Source organism: Homo sapiens, chromosome 3 (genome assembly GCF_000001405.40).
Source record: "Homo sapiens chromosome 3, GRCh38.p14 Primary Assembly".
NCBI lineage: Eukaryota > Metazoa > Chordata > Mammalia > Primates > Hominidae > Homo > Homo sapiens.
This window is the reverse complement of record NC_000003.12, coordinates 27091430-27111550: the sequence shown is the minus strand read 5'-3', so window position 1 is coordinate 27111550 and position 20121 is coordinate 27091430. Positions and strand designations below refer to the sequence as shown.

At 39.1% G+C, this 20121-nt stretch overlaps 1 protein-coding gene across 24 annotated transcripts in view, besides 2 other annotated features; it reads left to right on the top strand.

Moving 5' to 3' along the window:
• NEK10 (NIMA related kinase 10) overlaps positions 1-5067 on the top strand; it is a 262900-nt gene extending 257833 nt beyond the window's left edge. For 22 of the 24 annotated variants that reach the window (NM_001394969.1, XM_047447506.1, NM_001394967.1 and 19 more), the window contains one exon: positions 231-5067. In NM_001394969.1, the coding sequence (NP_001381898.1) occupies positions 231-279 (49 nt within the window). In that variant the 3' untranslated portion in view covers positions 280-5067. The remainder of the gene's footprint in view (positions 1-230) is intronic. The other 2 variants (XR_001740034.2, XM_006712999.4) reach the window with 2 other exon arrangements.
• Positions 5306-5885: an enhancer, noted in NCBI's record as "NANOG hESC enhancer chr3:27147157-27147736 (GRCh37/hg19 assembly coordinates)". NCBI's record gives its function as "activates a minimal SCP1, AML or CMV promoter by ChIP-STARR-seq in naive H9 embryonic stem cells {active_cell/tissue: H9 hESC(naive)}" and the evidence as "EXISTENCE:reporter gene assay evidence [ECO:0000049][PMID:30033119]".
• Positions 10146-11345: an enhancer, noted in NCBI's record as "BRD4-independent group 4 enhancer chr3:27141697-27142896 (GRCh37/hg19 assembly coordinates)". NCBI's record gives its function as "activates an origin of replication core promoter dependent on BRD2, P300/CBP, MED14 and CDK7 cofactors, and independent of BRD4, by STARR-seq in HCT116 cells {active_cell/tissue: HCT116}" and the evidence as "EXISTENCE:reporter gene assay evidence [ECO:0000049][PMID:35650434]".

Sequence of the window (20121 nt, the reverse complement as noted above, 5' to 3'; positions counted from 1 at the left end):
CAAAGTGTTATCAGTTCCTATTGAGTTCATAATTTGAGAAAGGCCTTGTTAGCACCAGACTTCAGCCAAAGGCAGCTTTTTAAAAATGTCCCCATCCTAACAAAAATAATCGTCTTTTTATTTACTGTGATTTATTTACTTATATGCCTGAGCCCCAGTTTTTGAAATTGAATGTATGAACTAAAATATTTGTAACTATAGAGAATTCTTTCCACTTCTGAATCTTATAGGTATCATTCCTATCCATGGGGGACCAAGAATCACCCAACCAAAAGATGAAAATGCTGCATTTTGAGTGGACTTGATTTTCTCAGTGAAGTTCAAGTTCTGGACTTCAGCCGCTATTGCAAGATGCCCAAGGATTGGGTGCTGCTAGAGGGTGTGGAAAAGACCAAGATGCCATGGGGCCTGCAGGACTTCTTTCTGGGGGTCCTGTGCTGGAGTATATGACAGCTGCGGTACTTGAGGGCTTCATTGCCAGAACACATTATATACAGGATGTCAGAGCTACCAGTGTGCTGCTGGGAGAAAATGCTGCAAAATTCATCTTTTGGAGGGTGGGGGGAAAACCCAAAAACAACAACAAAAAAACTCTCTTACAGAATTTTCCTTAACATTAAAAAAAACTTGTCATATTTTTCAAAGGCACATTTGATACTCAGAATTGCTAAAAGTATATTTAAAGACATCTAGCCTTCCATATGTAAAAAATATTTTAGATAAAGACAGTTACAGGACTCAGAATAATATATTGGGTGATTCACTGTATCCTCCATTTTTACATTTAAAGAAATTCAAAATACGTGATTAAATTTTTTTTTTTTTAATGGATGGGTTGGTTCTCGCTTAACCACTTGGGTGCTAGTGGTCTTGAACTGTGATACAGTGTAGACAGTATTTGTAACCTTGCACAGCCTCTGGGGGTAACTGTCAAACTGTCAGATTTAACTTAGACTAATAGAATATATTGCTGTACAGTGTGTGTATATGTTTATATATGAGGGCGGAAGGAGAGAGGTTTTGATTAGACTAATGCTTTGCTGCTAATCAAACTTATAGTATTTTTAGAGCACTTTGAAGAGTTTATAGAATCTATGAAAAAGATGCAATATTCCTCATCCTAAATCCCTCCTTATTACAATTACCTAAATTGTTTATGAATTGTTTAGGATTTTGAAATGAAAATAAGTTAAATCCCTTTTTTACTCATTGAGGCAGCTCAGTGGAAGTGAAATCAGAATGCCAAACTGTGTATCATCCTTTATGCCGGGAGAATTATGATGAAAATCTGCTAGATTCTCACTGGGCTTAAACTCCTTCTCTTCAATCAGCTTCTTAAAACTCTGGTGTAATGTCAAGAAATACCCTTATTGCGAAATCTGTCTACACTTCTAGCTACCTAAAGAGCAATTTATTCTACATAATTAGTAATCTGAAAGTTGAAATTATACTTTTTATTTACTTTTCATGGAGTTCTGTCATCTTTATTTACACTGAATTTTTTTAGTATGATTGAATCGATTTTAGTTCAATGTATTTACAGTGGTTGAAAGACCATAACCTTCTTTCTGTATAGTATGAAAATCTACACTATTTTTAAATGAGCATATTTAATACTTAAATTATATCCAAATTCCCTTTAATCATGCACTAATGCTTTTGAAGATTGTCAATGGATCTTTCTTTAAGCCAAATTAACAATTACAGATACACTGTAATGTAAGATAATAGATGCAAATACAGTAATGAAAATTTCAGTTTCAGCTTTCAAACTAATTCTATCCATATGTGAAATTCATAAAATCAAAATGCTATGATATTGATTTACCCAGGCAAAATTTTATTTCTGTTCCAAGTTAATTTGAACCTGCACTTATAATTCTTTTTATCTTTCAGTGTATGAAAGGGGCACATTTCTTCTTCATGCAGGAAGCACAGACCTGGAGGGGCACAAATTCTAATTGTGGGGTGAGAGTTTGAAATCAAGTTATTTCCCAAATGGTAGTATATAGTAAACAGAATTTAGGAAAGAATAGTATTCAAAAGGTGTACCGTGGTAAGGGAAGATAAATGGTTTACTTGAAGATGTTTTAAAGTGTATATAGTTGGCCTTATTGACCAGAAAGTGAGCAAAATGTTTCCATCTAACTCTTTTTTTTTTTTTTTTTTTTTAAGACAGAGTCTCACTCTGTTGCCCAGGCTTGAGTGCAATGGCGAGATCTTAACTTACTGCAACCTCCGCCACCCAGGTTCAAGCAATTCTCCTGCCTCAGCCTCCCGAGTAACTGGGATTACAGGCATGTGCTGCCATGCCCAGCTAATTTTTGTGTTTTTAGTAGAGATGGGGTTACACCATGTTGGCCAGGCTGGTCTCAAACTCCTGACCTCAGGTGATCTGCCTGCCTCGGCCTCCCAAAGTGCTGGGATTAGAGGCGTGAGCCACTGTGCCCAGCCATTGCATGTAACTCTTTTAGGTGATAGGAATGGGCATTTATTATGCTAGAAGTCAGTGAAAGTTAAGTAAGCAGAAGCTGTCCTTTTTAACAACAGCTTCAGGCCTATCAACTCTATGTGGATAGATGTATTGTTTTGCTAAAAGTATGAATATGCTCTATTTGAATTCTCCCTAAACTACCACAATCACTGAGTCTATATTTTCCCATGTCTCTAAGAGAAAGTCAGGCTCTGGCAAAAGCACCATTTTGTACATAGAGTCACATCCCAACAGAGAAGTTAACTTTTCAGAAGCCTTTCTAACACAAATATGGAGCACCTCCCCTCATGACCAAGAATGATCATTTTGTTTTGATTCTCCAAACTGTCTATTAGTGCAAAGGAGTTGTTACATGAACTTCATAGACCTCTTAATCTTTTCTTGATTGCATTTATATATTTTTTCCCTTTCTCTTGTATAATTTTTAATGATTTGTTGTGCAATGAAATTCCTATGAATGCACCTAATTTCCGTAACTGAATATTTGCATGGAATAGAATATGAATCAGTCTTTTCAGATTACTTTTGAAACACAAATGCTCCCGTTAATTATGTTTCGACCCACCAGCTCTTTCTGAATTATGTGTACTTGAAACCTTAATTTGCTTTTTAAAAGCAAAATGTTTCATTCTCAGGGAAGTGACTGCAGCAGGAATATTTGCTTGCTTGTTAACTTTATCTTCCTCCAGGCATGTAGTCTTCAAATGGAGTCTTCAAGGGAATAGTGACGTGGACACTTGGACCCACTGCTTGTGGATGAATTTCAGAAACCTAGAGAAATGCTGCTTGTTTATTGTGGACACTTGTATGGCATTAGGCAGTGTTTACAGAATGTTTAGGCATTCTAAAGCAGAACACAATTAAGAAACACTGTTAGGAAATTTACTCAAATGATATAATTGATTAAGAGTTAGGTCTTCCTATAAGTATCATCTATGACTCATTAAATACTATGAATTTTGATGTCCAAAAACAAATACAGGTCTGATTATGTACAATTCCAGAAATATCATTAATTAATCACCACTCATTTTTAAGATGTGTGAAGACTGTAATATTGGCTAGTGAATTTTATCAGTATTAATATGCATAGAACCCACATTCCTCTTTTTGATTTGATGTATTATAGCATGTATGTATTGCTATTTTTCTCTTTTTTTGAAGTGGTGAGGAATCATGCACAGTCAATATGCTGGGTTCCTTTAGAAATGACTTTAGCTCCTGTCTGAAGGCAGGAAAAACTTCTTTTTAAGGAACTTTCATCATTGCCTTTTACTTTTTCTATGATGGTTTTCATGAGCACTGAAATCACTTGGAGAGGCAATGCAAAGAAATCTATCTGAAACAGCTTCTTGGCACCCTGGAGTTACAGCTATGAAGGGCTCCAACGTAAGGGAAGCTTAATGCTTCCGAATATTGACATTGACTCCTTGGGTGAAATTTTGTCCAAATATAAAATTCTTCATGTTCAACAACTAAATGTAATAAATGAATTTCATATATACTTACATGATATCTTTGAGATTAAATTAATTATCCTTTTGTAGGAACTGACAGCTTTGGGTAGATTATTTTTTCAGTTGAAATGTGTTGCTAACAATATGCTTACACTTGAACGCTGTTTTTCATATTGATAGGAAGACACAAATTTCTCAGGGAAACAGCTTTGTGATAAAGGAATTCTTATGTGTGTCATTACAGTAAATTGCATATTGTAAATATGACTGTTGTGGTTGATTATAGTCCTGCTGTGATGTTGTTTTGAGATTTGCAAGAGGGACAGGAAAGATTTTATGAGTTTCATGGGGTGTCTGATGGATATTGCCAATTTACATATTTTCTGAGTTCATGGGCAATAGTTGTTTTTAAAAATGAAGATCACGTACCCTAAAATCACAGCTGCATACTTGCTATGTGAGGTATACTAGATGCTTTATTGCATGTATGTAACAATTGTCTAATAATATAAAAAATTTAAGATACAGTTCATTGCTTTATCCTAAAAGTAAATGAACTGTAGTCTTAATTCAAAACTGAATGTTATTCCTCAAAACATGAGAAACTGCCTTTTTCTCTCCTTTCCTTTTGTACTGTGAAGATGTGCACTGGCCCCAGCTACTGTATTTAGCGATAACAGAAGTACGTGACTGTTTAAATGCTGTCATTTGGAAATAGCTTACCTTTCTTTCTCCTAAACAAAGATAGAATTTTGTCTTTATGTATGGAGGATTATGGCTGACTGTCATTTTGACAATCAACAAATCCAGATGGATACTTGGAATTGATATGGTGAGTTCACAAATGAAAAATTAGCCGAAGTTTTTGCAAACATGTGAAAAACTGGTCCCATAAAACATGCAGAGAGAAGTTTGTGCCAGAAATAACAAACCAAGAGGAACAACTGCTTTAAGGCCTTGGCACCTTTAAGGCAGACTGTGAAGGTCACTTACAAAATGATATTCTTAACCCATGATTTAGCTCTGCATTTCAAGTGCCATTTGAGTCAAGATTCTGAAATAGAATATAAAGCTTGTAAATGGCTATTAAATTTTAGCTAAAACTGTTGCCCTCCATATTCTGTGTGTTTGCCTCATACTGCAGTGAATTTTGGAGGAAATGGAGCTGGTTTAGGGATACTTCATGTCATGACAAAACACATGAAGTATTTACATGAACCTAACCTTACTTTGAGGGAGGTTAATAAGTATAAGTACTCAGAAGGGAAACCTTGACTTGCTAAAGATTAAGGATAGATCTTTCATGGAGGTGGAACATCTTCAAATAGAAATTATGTTTTGAGAAGTTGGAGAGCAAGAAGGCAAGAAATTCCCTAGTGCCTGGGTCGCCCAGCAGGCTGCCCACTAGGGGGTGAGCAATGGCAAAGGGTAGCTCGGGAGCCTTCCGTGATTCCTGCTGCTGGGTTTCCCAGAAACAGCTGACCAGATGCTTCCCCAGCATGCAGCTATTGTTGAACTTTTAGCCAGGCACCGTCACCAACAAGTTGACCACCCAGAGCGGTAGCAAAAGGCCCCAAAGTCTCTTCATAACCTGCTGGCTGGTGGAATCCGTAGGACAGGATCCCTAGGAGGCATTCCAAAGACATTAGACTCCTCAAAGAAGCAGTTTTATCTGCCATTAAGTGAGTGTGATTCTGCCCCAGGGGTTATGTTCCCCATCTTTCATCCATGGGCTCAGGCCCATTTTGTCTGACAATGCACATTTTACAAGAAGTATATGTGAGATGTAAATGGATAAGTGCAGGCAGATTTGAATATACTTGTACCAGTTAAATTAGAAAAGAAACATTGCAAGCAATTTTAGCTGTTTGCAAGCAAACCAGTTGATAATCAGGCTGTAGAAAGATTCTATTATTTCACTCTTCCACACTGAAAAACAAAAATTACTTGAAAAATTTTTGGGTGCATTTTGCTTACTGACATTTAGTGGGTCAAAACAAAAACTATAGTGCTTCCTGTATTCCATCGTTCACACTGGTGACTTTGTGAGGATAAAAAAGAACAGAGCTGTCCTCTGAAAGGAAGAGAAACCCCTAATCTCATGTTGCCCAGAGCTTTTATTTTTTGGACAGCCCAGGATCCAAGACAAAGGCCTGTGCCCACAGAAGCAAAAATACCTGCAATGTGCTTTTTTTTCCCTATTAGCCTCTAACATAGTATCTTTTTGTTGTTGTTCTAGCACCCCTCCCATGCGGGTCTCTCCCCTGACACCTCTTCCCCTCCCACTATTCCTACCCAAGGAACAAACAAGGTTTCCTGCACAGAGCTGTGTTATTAGAGGGAATGAATGTTCCATAGTTATTTAATGGTGTGCCTTGTGGAAGGCAGAGGGAAGTACTTCTCTGTACGTGATTTCTATCTTTCTAAAACCTCCGCAACACTTCCTTCATGAGCACACCTACTCTAGAATGACCTCAAAGTCAGAGATCCTCAAGAGAAGAAGAAAGAAATGATTCTATAAAAGATTTATATAAGATATGCAAGCAGCTTTTATTTTTGCTATGATTAAATATGCCCTGTAAAATGCTAAAATAATTTAAAAAGTTATTTTCAATTTTATTGGAAAATGATTTCTCTTTTATTGAGAATTTACAGTAAATGATCATCTCTTTTCTCTCACCAGCTTCCCCAATTTCTTGTTTTATGCTCTTAAGTCTTTTGATTAAAAAAAAATTTCCAGAAAGCAATCATATATGTGTGAAAGCTCAAATGCATACCTCAGCTTTCATTGGTGGGTCCCTGTAGCAATTATCTATTGCTACACATGTTGTATAACAAAGCACCTAAAAACTTAGTGGTTTAAGGTAGCAACCATTTATTTTTTTCTTATGAGTTCATGGGTCAGTTGGAAGTTCTGCCTATCTGAGCAGAGCTCCACTGATCTCTGCTAGACTTTCTCCTGTGTCTATGGTTAGTTGGCAGGTTGGCTGAAGTCTAGCTGATTTAGGATTGACCTAGAGGGGACAAATCAGTTCTCTTCCCTGGTCTCACACGTGTTTTCAGCAACTTAGCCCAGATGTGTTTTTGTGGCAGTAGCAAGAGTTGAAAAGAGAATGCAGAAATGCACTCCTATTTTGACAAGCCACTTCTTGTGTTGTTTTCTTCATTCTCAATGGTCAAAGCAGGTCACACGGTCAAATCTATCATTAGTGTGGGGAGCTGTATGAGGCTTTCACTGCTGTGCAACCAGTTGCTATAAGTTTAACAGTTTAAAATAACACACATTTATTAGCTCACAATTTCTGTGTGTTGGAAGTTTGAGCAGGGCTTACATGGTCCTCTGCTCAGTGTCTCACAACTATAATCAGTGTCGGCTAGGTCTGGGGTCTCACCTGAGCTTGGGGATCATTTTCCAAGATCATGTGATTATTGACAGGGTTTATTTCCTTGTGTTTGTAGGACTGAGGTCCTGAGCAGCTAGATACCATAGATGCCACCTGTAGTCCCCTGCCATGTGGCCCTCTCCGGAGACAGTTCCCATCAAGGCAGCTGGCTGCTTCAAGGTCCACAGGAGAGTCTCTTTCTCTCTCTCTAGTCTGCTAAGATAGAATCTTATAACCAAATCACAGGAATGATATCCTGTTGCCATATTCTAGTGGGTAAAAGCGAGTTACAGGTGTACTCTACACTCAAAGGAAGGGGATTATACAAGAGCAAGGTCATTGGGGTCACCTTGGATTGTGTCTGCCGCAGAGTGCAATACCAAAGAATGCAAAAAAAGTAGACCTGAAAAATTGGGGCCATGAAGTACCAAATGCCACAATATCAAATTACCACATGATAAAAAGGCTGGAGAAACGCCTAGAGCCCTATATTCGATGGGAGGTCTCTGGATGGTGTCACACAGGGTCCTGAGCAGATGCCTCCCCGCTGCCTTCCTTTGCCCCTGAGCTCAGGTGCATATGGCCACCTGTACCCTGGCTGCCTAGGTGTGTGGCCCCCAGAACCTTGGCGCTCGCACACATTCGTCCCCCTCATGTGGGATCATGGCTCTTCTGCCCAGAGACTGCATCCGATTCCTTCCTCCCTCCCAAACAGCTCTGATGGAAGACTGCTCGATGGTCTGGAGAAGAAAGAATTGTGTGGTAGTCTTATGAAAATGACCTCAGAGTGCAGGACATAAATTCCAGAATGTTTCCAGTCCCCATCCCAGGATTCTGTTAGATGTATCCAGCAGGCTATTTGAAAATCATTTCTAATCCACCAAGCAAACAGACAAACCTCAGTCAGTGGAATGAGAAGCAGGAATGGAAATTATTCTTTCTCTAGAAGCCAGAGGAGCTTTCAGTAGCATCATAGTAAACATCCTTCACCTCCTTAAAACTCGTTGTGTTGCAATCTGCTATTCTTATTTTAGTCATTTATCAAATGGGGACATATTGATTGTTCTCAGTAATTATGTTCATATAGTAGAGAACAGGAATTAAATAAATGAATTATAGAGTATAGTTTGATATAAATACAAACTACAATCTTAAAAGAAAACCCTTATAAGCCATGAATAAAGGAAAATGTCTCCCAAGTCTCCCAAATTTAAAGATTCTGTCTCTCTTCTCAAGATTGAGCATATAATTTTATATTCATTTTACTTTTTATATGATGCTGCTTCTATAATGCAGGTTTAATTTGCCATCACACTAGAAAGACTAAAATATCATAAATTTATTTTGTACATACACTTGTTTTTTTAATCTCTTGAGCCATGCTGTTTGTCACAGACATTTTAACCATCTTTGGGATGTGCCAAAAAGTTGTTTATATAACTCAGGAAAATACTTGTAATTTTCATAAGTATATAGGTACTTATATTGTACATTGTTCAAGGATCAAGAAACAAATCACTTAAAGGCTAGAATTTCCTAAATTTATTTGCACATAATATAATAAGCAAGCATCATTAAGAATTTAGGCCCTGAGCACACATAGACTTGGATCTGAATGCCAGCTCCATGATATTCTACTTGTATAACTTCTGACCAAGGACTTAACTTTTCTAATGCTTAGCTTTCACATCTATATCATGAAGAAAATAGTAGATTCCACTTTAAAAAGTTGTTAAGCATAGGCTTGACACAAGAATTAAACACTATAATAGTGGCAAGGAATTCAAGTGCAATGTCAGCCTAGAGCAGACTTACCCAGTACTTGGTGTACTGGCCTCCTGGTACAGCTCCTTTTTCAACAGCCTGCATCTGTTTGTCTTTGTTTTTGTTTTTTCTTTTTTTTGAGACCGGGTCTTGCTCTGTCGCCCAGGCTGGAGTGCAGTGGCACAATCTCGGTTCACTGCAGCCTCTGCCTCCTGGGTTCAAGCAACTCTCTTGCCTCAGCCTCCCAAGTAGATGGGATTACAGGTGCGTGCCACCACACTTGGCTAATTTTTATATTTTTAGTAGAGACGGGGTTTCACCATGTTGGCCATGCTGGTCTCAAACTCCTGACCCCAAGTGATCCGCCCGCCTCGGCCTCCCAAAGTGCTGGGATTACAGGTGTGAGCCACAGAGCCTTGCCTGTCTTTGATGGGAACTGTCCTCAGGTTGGTGGAACCAGCATTTCCTGCTGGCAATAGTAACGGCCTGCAGAGGCTGCCCCTATCCCATGAGAAAGAGGTGCATGGGAACCAATCCTCCAGCACCCTCACTCCTGATTAGGACAGCTCTGAGTTGTACTCTTCGCTCTCACAGTTTCCCTGCAGAACCGAGCCAAAGGCACCCTTTGTTGGACTGAACCTAATGAGGCATCCCTGGCTGGGCTTCCTTCCTGTCCTGATCTGACTTCACTTATCGGTTTTCCTGGCAATACTTCCTGACAAATCCATCCAAGGGTGCACTTCTGAGGAACCGCATCTGAAGCATCTTCAGAACATGAACAACCTAATCAGTATTAGCCCAAAATATCTGTGTCAAAGAGTGTGGATTGGCAACCTCTTCATGATACACATGTGAAAGGAAATAATTCATTGATTGGTGCTACTGGGGTGCATCCTGCAATAGCATCACCATTAAGCAGAGATGAAAGTAGGCATAGTGGTCAATAGCAGTGACCACACCCCTGCCTCCTCTTCCTATCCCAGTCAGCAGTTAGGTGTGGCTCTCAGTGGGATGGCAGAGCTCTGCGGCATAATTAAAGGATAGAGTCACAGTCCACAACATCTCCCCAGCCTCCTCACATGGTTTGGGGGCTCTTCCTTCCTGTCCTTAGGGAGTGGGGCTGCCTCTCTCTGTGATTTCATTGTTATACTATAGATCAAGGTGGGGTCAGAATTCCAAAAAAAGATGTCACAGGAACTGGGGAGACCCCTAAAACAGGTATGGTCTTGCCTGGCCTCCATTCACCACAAAGTCATCTCAGATTTGGGGAACCTCCATGTTGTCTGTGATAGAAGAAAAGGCTGGCTGACACTCATTTGGTCTCTAAGACAGATGGAATGCTTTTCTCTTAGGTCCTTCACCAATTCTCCCGAGAGTGTTTTTTTTCTTCCAAATAACCGCAACCAAAGTAATGAGTGTCTTGGCACCTGCTAATTTATTTCTAAAATGCTTTTGAATTATGATTATTAACTCCACTGTGAACTTTTTAGATGATTTTATCACCTGTCTTTCCAGGAAAATAATTCTCATGACAAACATTTAACTTTTAGTATGAAATATATAAGAAATGACTTAATTCTACGCAAATGCTTACCATCTTTGATCAGTCACACATTAGGAACTATTTTCATTGGAAATATTTTTCATGACAGCGAAGGTTGTCATATCCCACGTTTGTTGATCTCAACTGCCTGGTTGGTTCTTGTCAGTAGGGCCATTAACATTTGACAATAGGTGCTCCAGTTTGGGAAGATTATTCCAAAGTCACGGTTATTATTCCAAATCTGCTTGCCCCTAAAGTGCATGCGTGAGGAGGAAGAGCTTTCTCACTTGGCCGTGTTCTTTGTTCCGGATATGAGTAAGTGGGAGAATTGCCGCTAAAATTCTTTGGCCTCTTCTACTTCCTATGCTTGTCCTTCCTGCCCCCGCTTCCTACACAACATACACACACACACACACACACACACACACACACACACACACACACAGAGAAACACACGCACGCATACACACCCCACCCCACACTTCAAGGAGGACATAATCTTCCTTGCATTGGTAACCATTTCCTACTGGTTACCATTGTCATTGGATAACTGAGGTAACCATTTCCTACTGGTTGCCATTGTCATTGGATAATTGAGGTAGCATGAAGATTCATGTTGGCCACATTTCCAAATCACTACTCAAGTCTTTCTTTCTTTTCCCCCTTTTTCTTCATTCTAGAATTTGGGGTGCATTTCTTCATATATTATCTCTGTCTAACTCTGTTTCTAATAGGAAAAATATCTCTCTCTGTCTACATAACACAATGACTTCAAGAGTCAATACTGTTTATATTGTTTAATATTACAGCTTGTCTTCTTTTCTACATTTTTAATATTTTAATGTGTATTTCATACTTTAAGAGATATGAAATGTCATGGAAACTTTGTTTCTCAGTTTTCTCCTGTAGATTTCATAACCCAGTCTCAGGAGTATTTATAGAACAATCATTTTAATTTTATTTCCCTCAGAAACAATACAGATGAATTGCTAACTTTAAAATAAAATTCTGCTTTCATCTTTAACTAGTATTTAAAAAGCTTTATGGAGCTATATAGAGTTTTAAAAACAAACACACAAATAAGAGTTTGACAAATAACTTAATATTTAAATCAGAAGTTCTGTTCACTTAGAGGTTAATTGGATCAATTTAAAGGAGTGCTAGATTTACAGGGGACCATGTGTTCATGAGGATAATTTCTAAAATTCTCACCAGAAAATCAGTCTTCTTACCTTCCCCTGGAGAGGGAGAGATGTGTTGAATGGTTACTATGTGGTACGCACTGTGCAAGGCACCTTATTTATTCATTATAACAGCCACTCTGAAGGGTTATAACTAACACTATTGTAGATATTTTTAAAACTGAGGTTCAGAGGCATTAAGAAGACAACAGCTAGTTGTAAAAAACAAAAAAAGGCAGAATGCAAGGAAAAGAACCTAGATTTTACATTGCTCCAATACCCATGCTTTTTTTCCCCATTTACACTAAGCAAAACCCTGTTTATATCGTAGAGATAAGATTATTAAAATTATGGGATTTAAACATTCTATATGGGCCTTATTGCCTTGCCTCTTACTCTTAGTGGCCATTTTGTGCGTGTCATTGATGCGTACGATTATAAATAGTTGTAAGGAAAAAATGCTCTATTAATTCTTTTCAAAAGCAGAAATGTAGCCTACATAGGATTTTTTTTTTTTTTTTTTTTTTGGAGACAGAGTTTCACTCTTGTTGCCCAGGCTGGAGTGCATGCAATCTCGGCTCACTGCAATCTCCACCTCCCTGGTTCAAGTGATTCTCCTGCCTCAGCCTCCCGAGTAGCTGGGATTACAGGCACCCATCACCACACCTGGCTAATTTTTATATTTTTAGTAGAGATGGGGTTTCACCATGTTGGCCAGGCTGGTCTCAAACTCCTAACATCAGGTGATCCACCCGCCTCGGCCTCCCAAAGTGCTGGGATTACAGGCTTGAGCCACCGCACCTGGTGCCTACATAGCATTTAAATAATTATTTTACTACTAGAGCCTGAGCCTCCCCAGACTACTCACAACCCAGGCTTTTTTATGTTTTCATTTGGACCCAACTTTCCACAAAGTGCTTTGGTAACTCTGCTCATGTCAACTCTTGATATATAATGAGAGCTCAAGTAATATTACTAATTAAGTGGCTCAAGAATCAGTCAGGCATTTTGACTCTTAAACTCAATGGACTGAAAGAAAAAAAGTCAATGGACTGAAGCATTTCCTTTCAGAGACAAAGTGAGAGATATACTGGCCGTTTGACCTAAGGTGAATGACTTAAACCACTCTGAACCTCAGTTTTCTAAGATAGTAGTGCTTTCTATTGTATTATCATATGATTAAATGTAGTATCATATGATTAAATGTAAATTAAAGGTGGTGACTAACATGAGAAATGATAAGTTCAATGTGCTGACCAAAGAAACAAATAAATAGAAACAATGAGTTTTATTAAGCTGTAATTTCCCAAAGATGAGGGAATGCACTTGCTGACTTTTTTTGTCTCATTTTCCTCATTTAAAAAATGACCCAGCCAGCATTGCCTCCTCTGTTGCGGATGTCCAGCTCTGAAGATGTCTGTTTCAGTGCGACAGTGTCAGAGGACTGCTGATACTCTAGCATCCTGTTCAATTCTTAGTTGCGAGAGATAGAATGCCAACTGGTTCAATAAGTAAAAGGGAATTTATTGGCTTTTATAATTGAAATGATAATTGTCCACAAAAGGACGAGCTTGAGGCATTGCTAAATGCAAGAAGATATCAACAGGTCTCTCTCTCTCTCTCTTTCTACTGTCCCCTGCCTCTTTCTGCTTTCATTTTTGGCCTTTGCTCTCCTCCATCATGGCCTTACTCTCAAGTAGGTTCCCTTCTTCCCACGATAGTTCCCAGGAACACTGAGATGAAACCCTTTCCAGGCCATCAGAAGATTCCCTTATCAGTTTGACGGAAGTTCCAGAATCAAGTCTTAATAGGCCAAAGTGAGTAACAGACTCAGTGCTTTAGCTGGGAGAAGATGGTATAATGGGATATGCCAATTGCCTGTGTCATGGGCCAAACCTGAGCCAATCACTGGCCAAGGGAATGCAGTGTCCATCCCTGGAGCCCAGATCGGAGGAGCCCTGGAACACCATGGTTTGAGAGTGGGAAGGAACAACACTGTGAGGATGCTGTTGGGGGAAATGATGAGTCTAAGGATAATGAGGAACTAGGTTTTTGGTAGATGAAAAGCAGATGTTTATGAACTTGGCTTAGTCTTACAAGAAAGCATTTGTATCTGATCATTGGCTGGGACTCCTGACCAATTGCTCCTGCCTTCCTCTTCCATCACCTCAGTTAGCTTAAAAGTACTGAGATAAACCATTGCTTAAGCAAAACATATCAGCAGAGAAGCATAATCAAGGCAGGCTAGGAAGTCTGGGAAAAAATGAATAATATCTGCATAGCTCTTGTGTTTCATTTGTCACAGAGCCCACTGAGTAAGGGTGGACAGAATAGTAACACTAAACGAGCTGCAAGAATATGCAAATGCCCTGTGGTCAGTTTCCAGCTTTGCTGCTGTAACACCTGTTAACTCCCTGTTTTTCAGTTTTACAAAACTCAGCTCAAAAGGGATGTTGTTTCTGTGCAGGGATGCCATTATTTCTCTTCACCACCCTCCTCCTTCTGGGTGAAAGCATGCTCCAGCTTTTCTCTAAACTCCTCTCCTCAGTCTGCACCATCGATTACTAACCTACAGGCTCAGTCCTTCAAACTTTGGGCCCATCTTAATTAGGGCAGCCAGCAGTATATTGCTGGCCAACTCAGAGCCACACAAAACTTCTCCCACCTCTTGCAACTGTTAAGATCTTGCATTACTCCTGCTGGGCTAAGTCAGGTATGTCACACAGATCCCTGAACATCCACATAGGTCCCTGTGTTAGCCTGTCCTCTAACCTTCTTTCAGGGGTTACCTGCCTGATTGTAACCCAAATCCTGGTCTGGCCTTTGACTCCAACCCATTTGGTTGAATCCAAAACAAACTTACCTTCTAGAATCTAAAACCTAGCCTGCTGTAACTCCTTGCAAATGGCTCACCCAGATCAAGCCCAAGTTTTCAACATGAAATTTGGGCAGCAACCCTCACTCTTTCAGTTCACAAAGGTCCCACTTTTCCTGTTCACTCACCTCAATTCTGTACCCATGTGTTTCTGAGGTCCCAGTGTAAAATGGCACCAAGCCTGCTTACATGATCTATGGCACTGGGTGATGTTGGTGAGTTGGGGTGGGAATTCTCCTGTGTAAACACAGCAAAACCGGAGTATCCTGATGGGGAGCCTCTAGTGAACTAATGGTGTTCATTCACTCATTTATTCATACAATGAATATCAATCACATAATTTAGTGCTTCTGAAACTTGAGTATGTATACAAATTCCTGTGGATCTTATTAAAATGCATATTCTGATTCAGTAGGGCTGGGATTGGGCCTGAGATTCTGCATTTTAACACGCTCCCAGATGATGTGCATGCTGATGTTTTATGAACCAGAATTTGGGTAGCAAGGACTATAGAAACTCAGGAAGTATTTGTTGAACGTTAAATGAATGAAAATCTGAATAAAAGCTTTGAATAATCGTTTCAGTTTAGATAGAAAAGAGAAGTATAATGTTGATGGAGTTACTGGTAAATGACAGTTAATGGGTCAAATGCTTTAGCCTTTGCCAATGAGTCTTCCCTGGTGTTGTCCCCTCATTACCCATCCCAATGGACTTTGACCCATTTCCCCTGCCTCTTGCTAAGGGAATAAGAGAGCCAACTTCAGACTAGCATTCCAATTGCCTGTTAAAGCCTGTTCTTTTTGAACCACACCCATAGTTTTTCAATGTTCTCAACAGAAGCATGGCTTTGTAGTCACATACACACACAATGCCCAATTACTGGCAATTTTGGTATAACAAGGAATGTACATCCCCAACCCTACTGGATATCAAGACCTTTTATGGCATTTCATGTCTGTGTAGATTCTCAACAATGCCAAAGAAACTCAAAACGTGAAAAGAGGAAGTACTAGAATACCACACTAGAGACAAAACCTCTTCCCCCTATTTTTTTTTTTTTCTGCTGAATGTTTCTGGCTTGATTTCTTTGCCAACACAGATTTCTTACTGGACAAAGCAAACACTCTGTTGTACTCTCAGAAAGTTCCATTTTTAGCTCACAGCATAATGTGTGGTGTGGTTTGTTCTCTAAAGAAGGAACACAGCAGGTAAAAGGTAAATTATTTCACAAAGGTCAGCTGTGAGCCCGTTCTCTTTTGATAATAGGAATCTTGCCTTGTGGAGAGCTCATTAGAGGTCCCCAAGAGGCCCAAAGAAGAGGCTGGGATCAGGAGATGGGGGATAAAAATGCCTGCTGAAAATGTTAGGGCTGTCATTCCTACCCCAGAACTCTGGCTCTCCATTTAATGAACAATTTTCCCTTAACAAAAACTCACTGGAAATGATGGAATGCTCATGCATTAGTTATCTCCCCGCCTCTCTGCCAAATGCCTCTCTTTGCTGCTTTCTTGTCTAGACCATAGACTCCATAGTCCCAGACAGGAATTGTAGAGACTTCTTGTTCCTCAGATATGTCGAGTTGGAGCTATATCTTTGAAAGTCAAATTTTATGTTAAGAGAACATCACCTTAAACAACTTTGGCTTTGCTCCTAAGTCCAACCCCATAATATATTAAATTTCATTTGTTCTCTCTGGAGTGGGCTCTCTTTCCAACTTAGATAGCAAGTGAGAAAAGTATAGTTCTTGTTCAGCTGGCACACCATTTCCATTTAAACTGCTGTCAACTTGAGCTTAGCTGAGGTTATGAATAGAAAATGTGCACGTCCCATGACCACAATGGAACAGGCTTTAGGAAACAACCCACGACACACAACAACTTCCTGAATAGGCAGCAGCTGACCACAGTTTCAACGTCCTAACTGTGATAACCATTATAACTTTAATAGGCATCCTGGGGCAGAAACTACTCTCTGTCAACAGTTAAAGGTCCCTCCACAAAGAGTCACCAAATTGTGAACTTTTATTGCAGAAAGGGCTCAGAGAGAAGAATTCTAAGGCTTCACTCTGCAGGGTCAAAAACTTGTCAAATGTCACACCACTTCGGACTAGTGAAAGAATCACAGATTGGGGGGAGCCCTCAGGCTGAATTTGGAAGGATAAATTGAAAAAGTCATACTTGAATTAAAAAATGGCTTGAGTTGGACTTGTTCCATGAATGCAATTTAGCTTTTTACTGTGGCTGGTGACAATGTGGTATTTTCAGCTTCTGAGTTGATTGACAGTGGCAAAATACTGGAAGATTTTATTTAATAAGAGTGCCATTGTTATCTCTACATTAGGACAACTTCTTTCTCTGGTACAATCACTTTTTTTTTAAAGTTAAAACCCATTTTCTCTTCTGTATTCCCCTTCCCCTGGGAAGGAAAAGAATACATGCACAAAGAAGAAAAAATGTAAAACACAACCCTGCCATTTAGGACTTTTTCCAGGCTTATATGTTGCTATTATTCTTTAAGGATACTATATGCTTCCTAATGTGATTTTTTTTTCACTAATCAATATAATGTGGGCATCTTTATATGTCAAGGAGAACATCATCTATACCAGGTTTCAGCAAATGATGGTCCAAGGGCCAAATCCTGACCAATGCCTGTTTTTGTAAATAAAGTTCAAATGGAACACAGCCATGTCTATTCATTTATGTATGATATCTGGCTGCTTTTGAGCTAGAATGGCAGAGATGAATAGCTGCAACGGAGATAACCTTACTCATGAAGGCTAAAATATTTACTATTGGCCCTTTGCAGAAAATGTTTCTAACCCTTGATCTACATTATTATGTTTCAATAGTTGAGCAACATTTCATTGCATCATCATATAATTATTTGTTTAATCAGTCCTTGTTGAGAGACATTTGGGTTATTTCCTGTCTTAAATAACATTTAGGTTGTTTCCCATTGCATGGAACACTAGGCTCTAACATCATTATCATTGCTTATATCTTTACATCCCGTTAAGAAATAGTCTGAAGATTAAAAATTACTAGATTAAAGGATTTTTCAGTCTTCCAAAGGGATTTTGGTAGCCATTCCCATATTTTTTCCACTTCTACATAGAGGAGCTCTTTTTTTTTTTTTTTTTTTTTTTTTTTTTTTTTTTTTTCTTTTATTTTTTATTTTATTTTATTTTATTTTTTTTATTATACTCTAAGTTTTAGGGTACATGTGCACATTGTGCAGGTTAGTTACATATGTATACATGTGCCATGCTGGTGCGCTGCACCACTAATGTGTCATCTAGCATTAGGTATATCTCCCAATACTATCCCTCCCCCCTCCCCCAACCCCACCACAGTCCCCAGAGTGTGATATTCCCCTTCCTGTGTCCATGTGATCTCATTGTTCAATTCCCACCTATGAGTGAGAATATGCGGTGTTTGGTTTTTTGTTCTTGCGATAGTTTACTGAGAATGATGGTTTCCAATTTCATCCATGTCCCTACAAAGGATATGAACTCATCATTTTTTATGGCTGCATAGTATTCCATGGTGTATATGTGCCACATTTTCTTAATCCAGTCTATCATTGTTGGACATTTGGGTTGGTTCCAAGTCTTTGCTATTGTGAATAGTGCCGCAATAAACATACGTGTGCATGTGTCTTTATAGCAGCATGATTTATACTCATTTGGGTATATACCCAGTAATGGGATGGCTGGGTCAAATGGTATTTCTAGTTCTAGATCCCTGAGGAATCGCCACACTGACTTCCACAATGGTTGAACTAGTTTACAGTCCCACCAACAGTGTAAAAGTGTTCCTATTTCTCCGCATCCTCTCCAGCACCTGTTGTTTCCTGACTTTTTAATGATTGCCATTCTAACTGGTGTGAGATGATATCTCATAGTGGTTTTGATTTGCATTTCTCTGATGGCCAGTGATGATGATTATTATTGTGATAACAGCTGATACAGAGGGGTTGCCCTTTCCATAGTTTCTCTTGCCTATCATCTACAAAACTATACTCACAGAGCCCGAGACTTCAAGACCACACAGACCATCTAATGGAACTTGACAGTGGGGCACACTCCATTATCGAGCTCCAAATTTGCAGCCCTAGCAATTGCTGAAAACAAGGACTGAGAGATGAACTATCTTCCAATGGTTTTGTCCTTTGGCTCAGCGTACACCACATCCTTATAAAAACACCTTCATTCAAAAGTCAGCCTGTGGAGCCAGCTTGGAGATAACCAGTGTGGTTTGACTGGGGGGCTTGTGTTATATCTTTTATGAGTTTGTCATGACACCAAGAGTAAATAATCAAATCCAGCCTTTAATAGCCCAGGGTTTGGTAGCTGCCTCTTCTCGGGTGATGGAGGCTGCCATGGATGGAATGTGGCAAGTTAAGTTATTTCTGTTTCAGGTTTCTCTTTAGCCAGGGCCTGAAGCAGTCTGCTATGCTTCTGCTATATAGCACTAGGTCTAAGCCCTAAGTTCCTCAGGACCCCCTTCATAACCTGATATATGCTGGGCATTTTGTCTAAAGTAGCCTCCATCTCTTTTCACAATGCAGAGAGAAAAGCTAAAATGTAAAACAGAAAAGTGTGGGGGACATTTATCTGGTATCTTCACTTGTTAACCACTTCTTATGGCCCTAAAACATATGTGTTTACGTATATTTACTCGAAGGCAAATATAATCTTTAATATTATTAATATTAATTATATTAGGTGTATATGTGTTATATACACCTAATATTAATAATCTTTATATATACCTAATATTAATAATATATGTATGTATACACTTAATATTAATAATATCAAAGATTCTGCTTGAAAAAACCTAGTTGATTTTGTATATAAGCTCGGCTTTCTTTTCTCTGTGTGGGATAACCTGGCACTGCACTTAATCCTAGTGGGACAAGTTCTGTTGGCTTTTTTCTCTTCCACGCCAGTGGAAAAGGTGACTTCCCAGCCAGTCAGAGACTAAGTAAGAGAATTTATATAATGAAATGCTATACAGCAATATAAATGACTGAGCTACTGATGCATGCCCAGGCAAATCTCAAAAGCATTGTGCTAAGTGAAAGAAGCCAGACACAAGAGTCCATTTACATGAAATTCTAGAAAAGGCAAAACTATGGTGAAAGAAAATAGATTAGTGGTTATTAGGGGCCTTGGATGGGATGGGATTGAGATAATCTTTTGGAACGATGACCATCTTCTATGTTTTGATTGTGGTGTGGTAACATAAATGTATACGGCTGTCAAAATTTACTGAAGTATAAACTCTTCAAATAGGTGCATTCTGTAATACATAAATGATACCTTAATAAATTTGAAGTGATGAAAAAGAAGTAAAGGAAGGAATTTGGGTTGATTTATGAATGTGTGGCTTGAACATTTATATGGGTGGTGGTTCC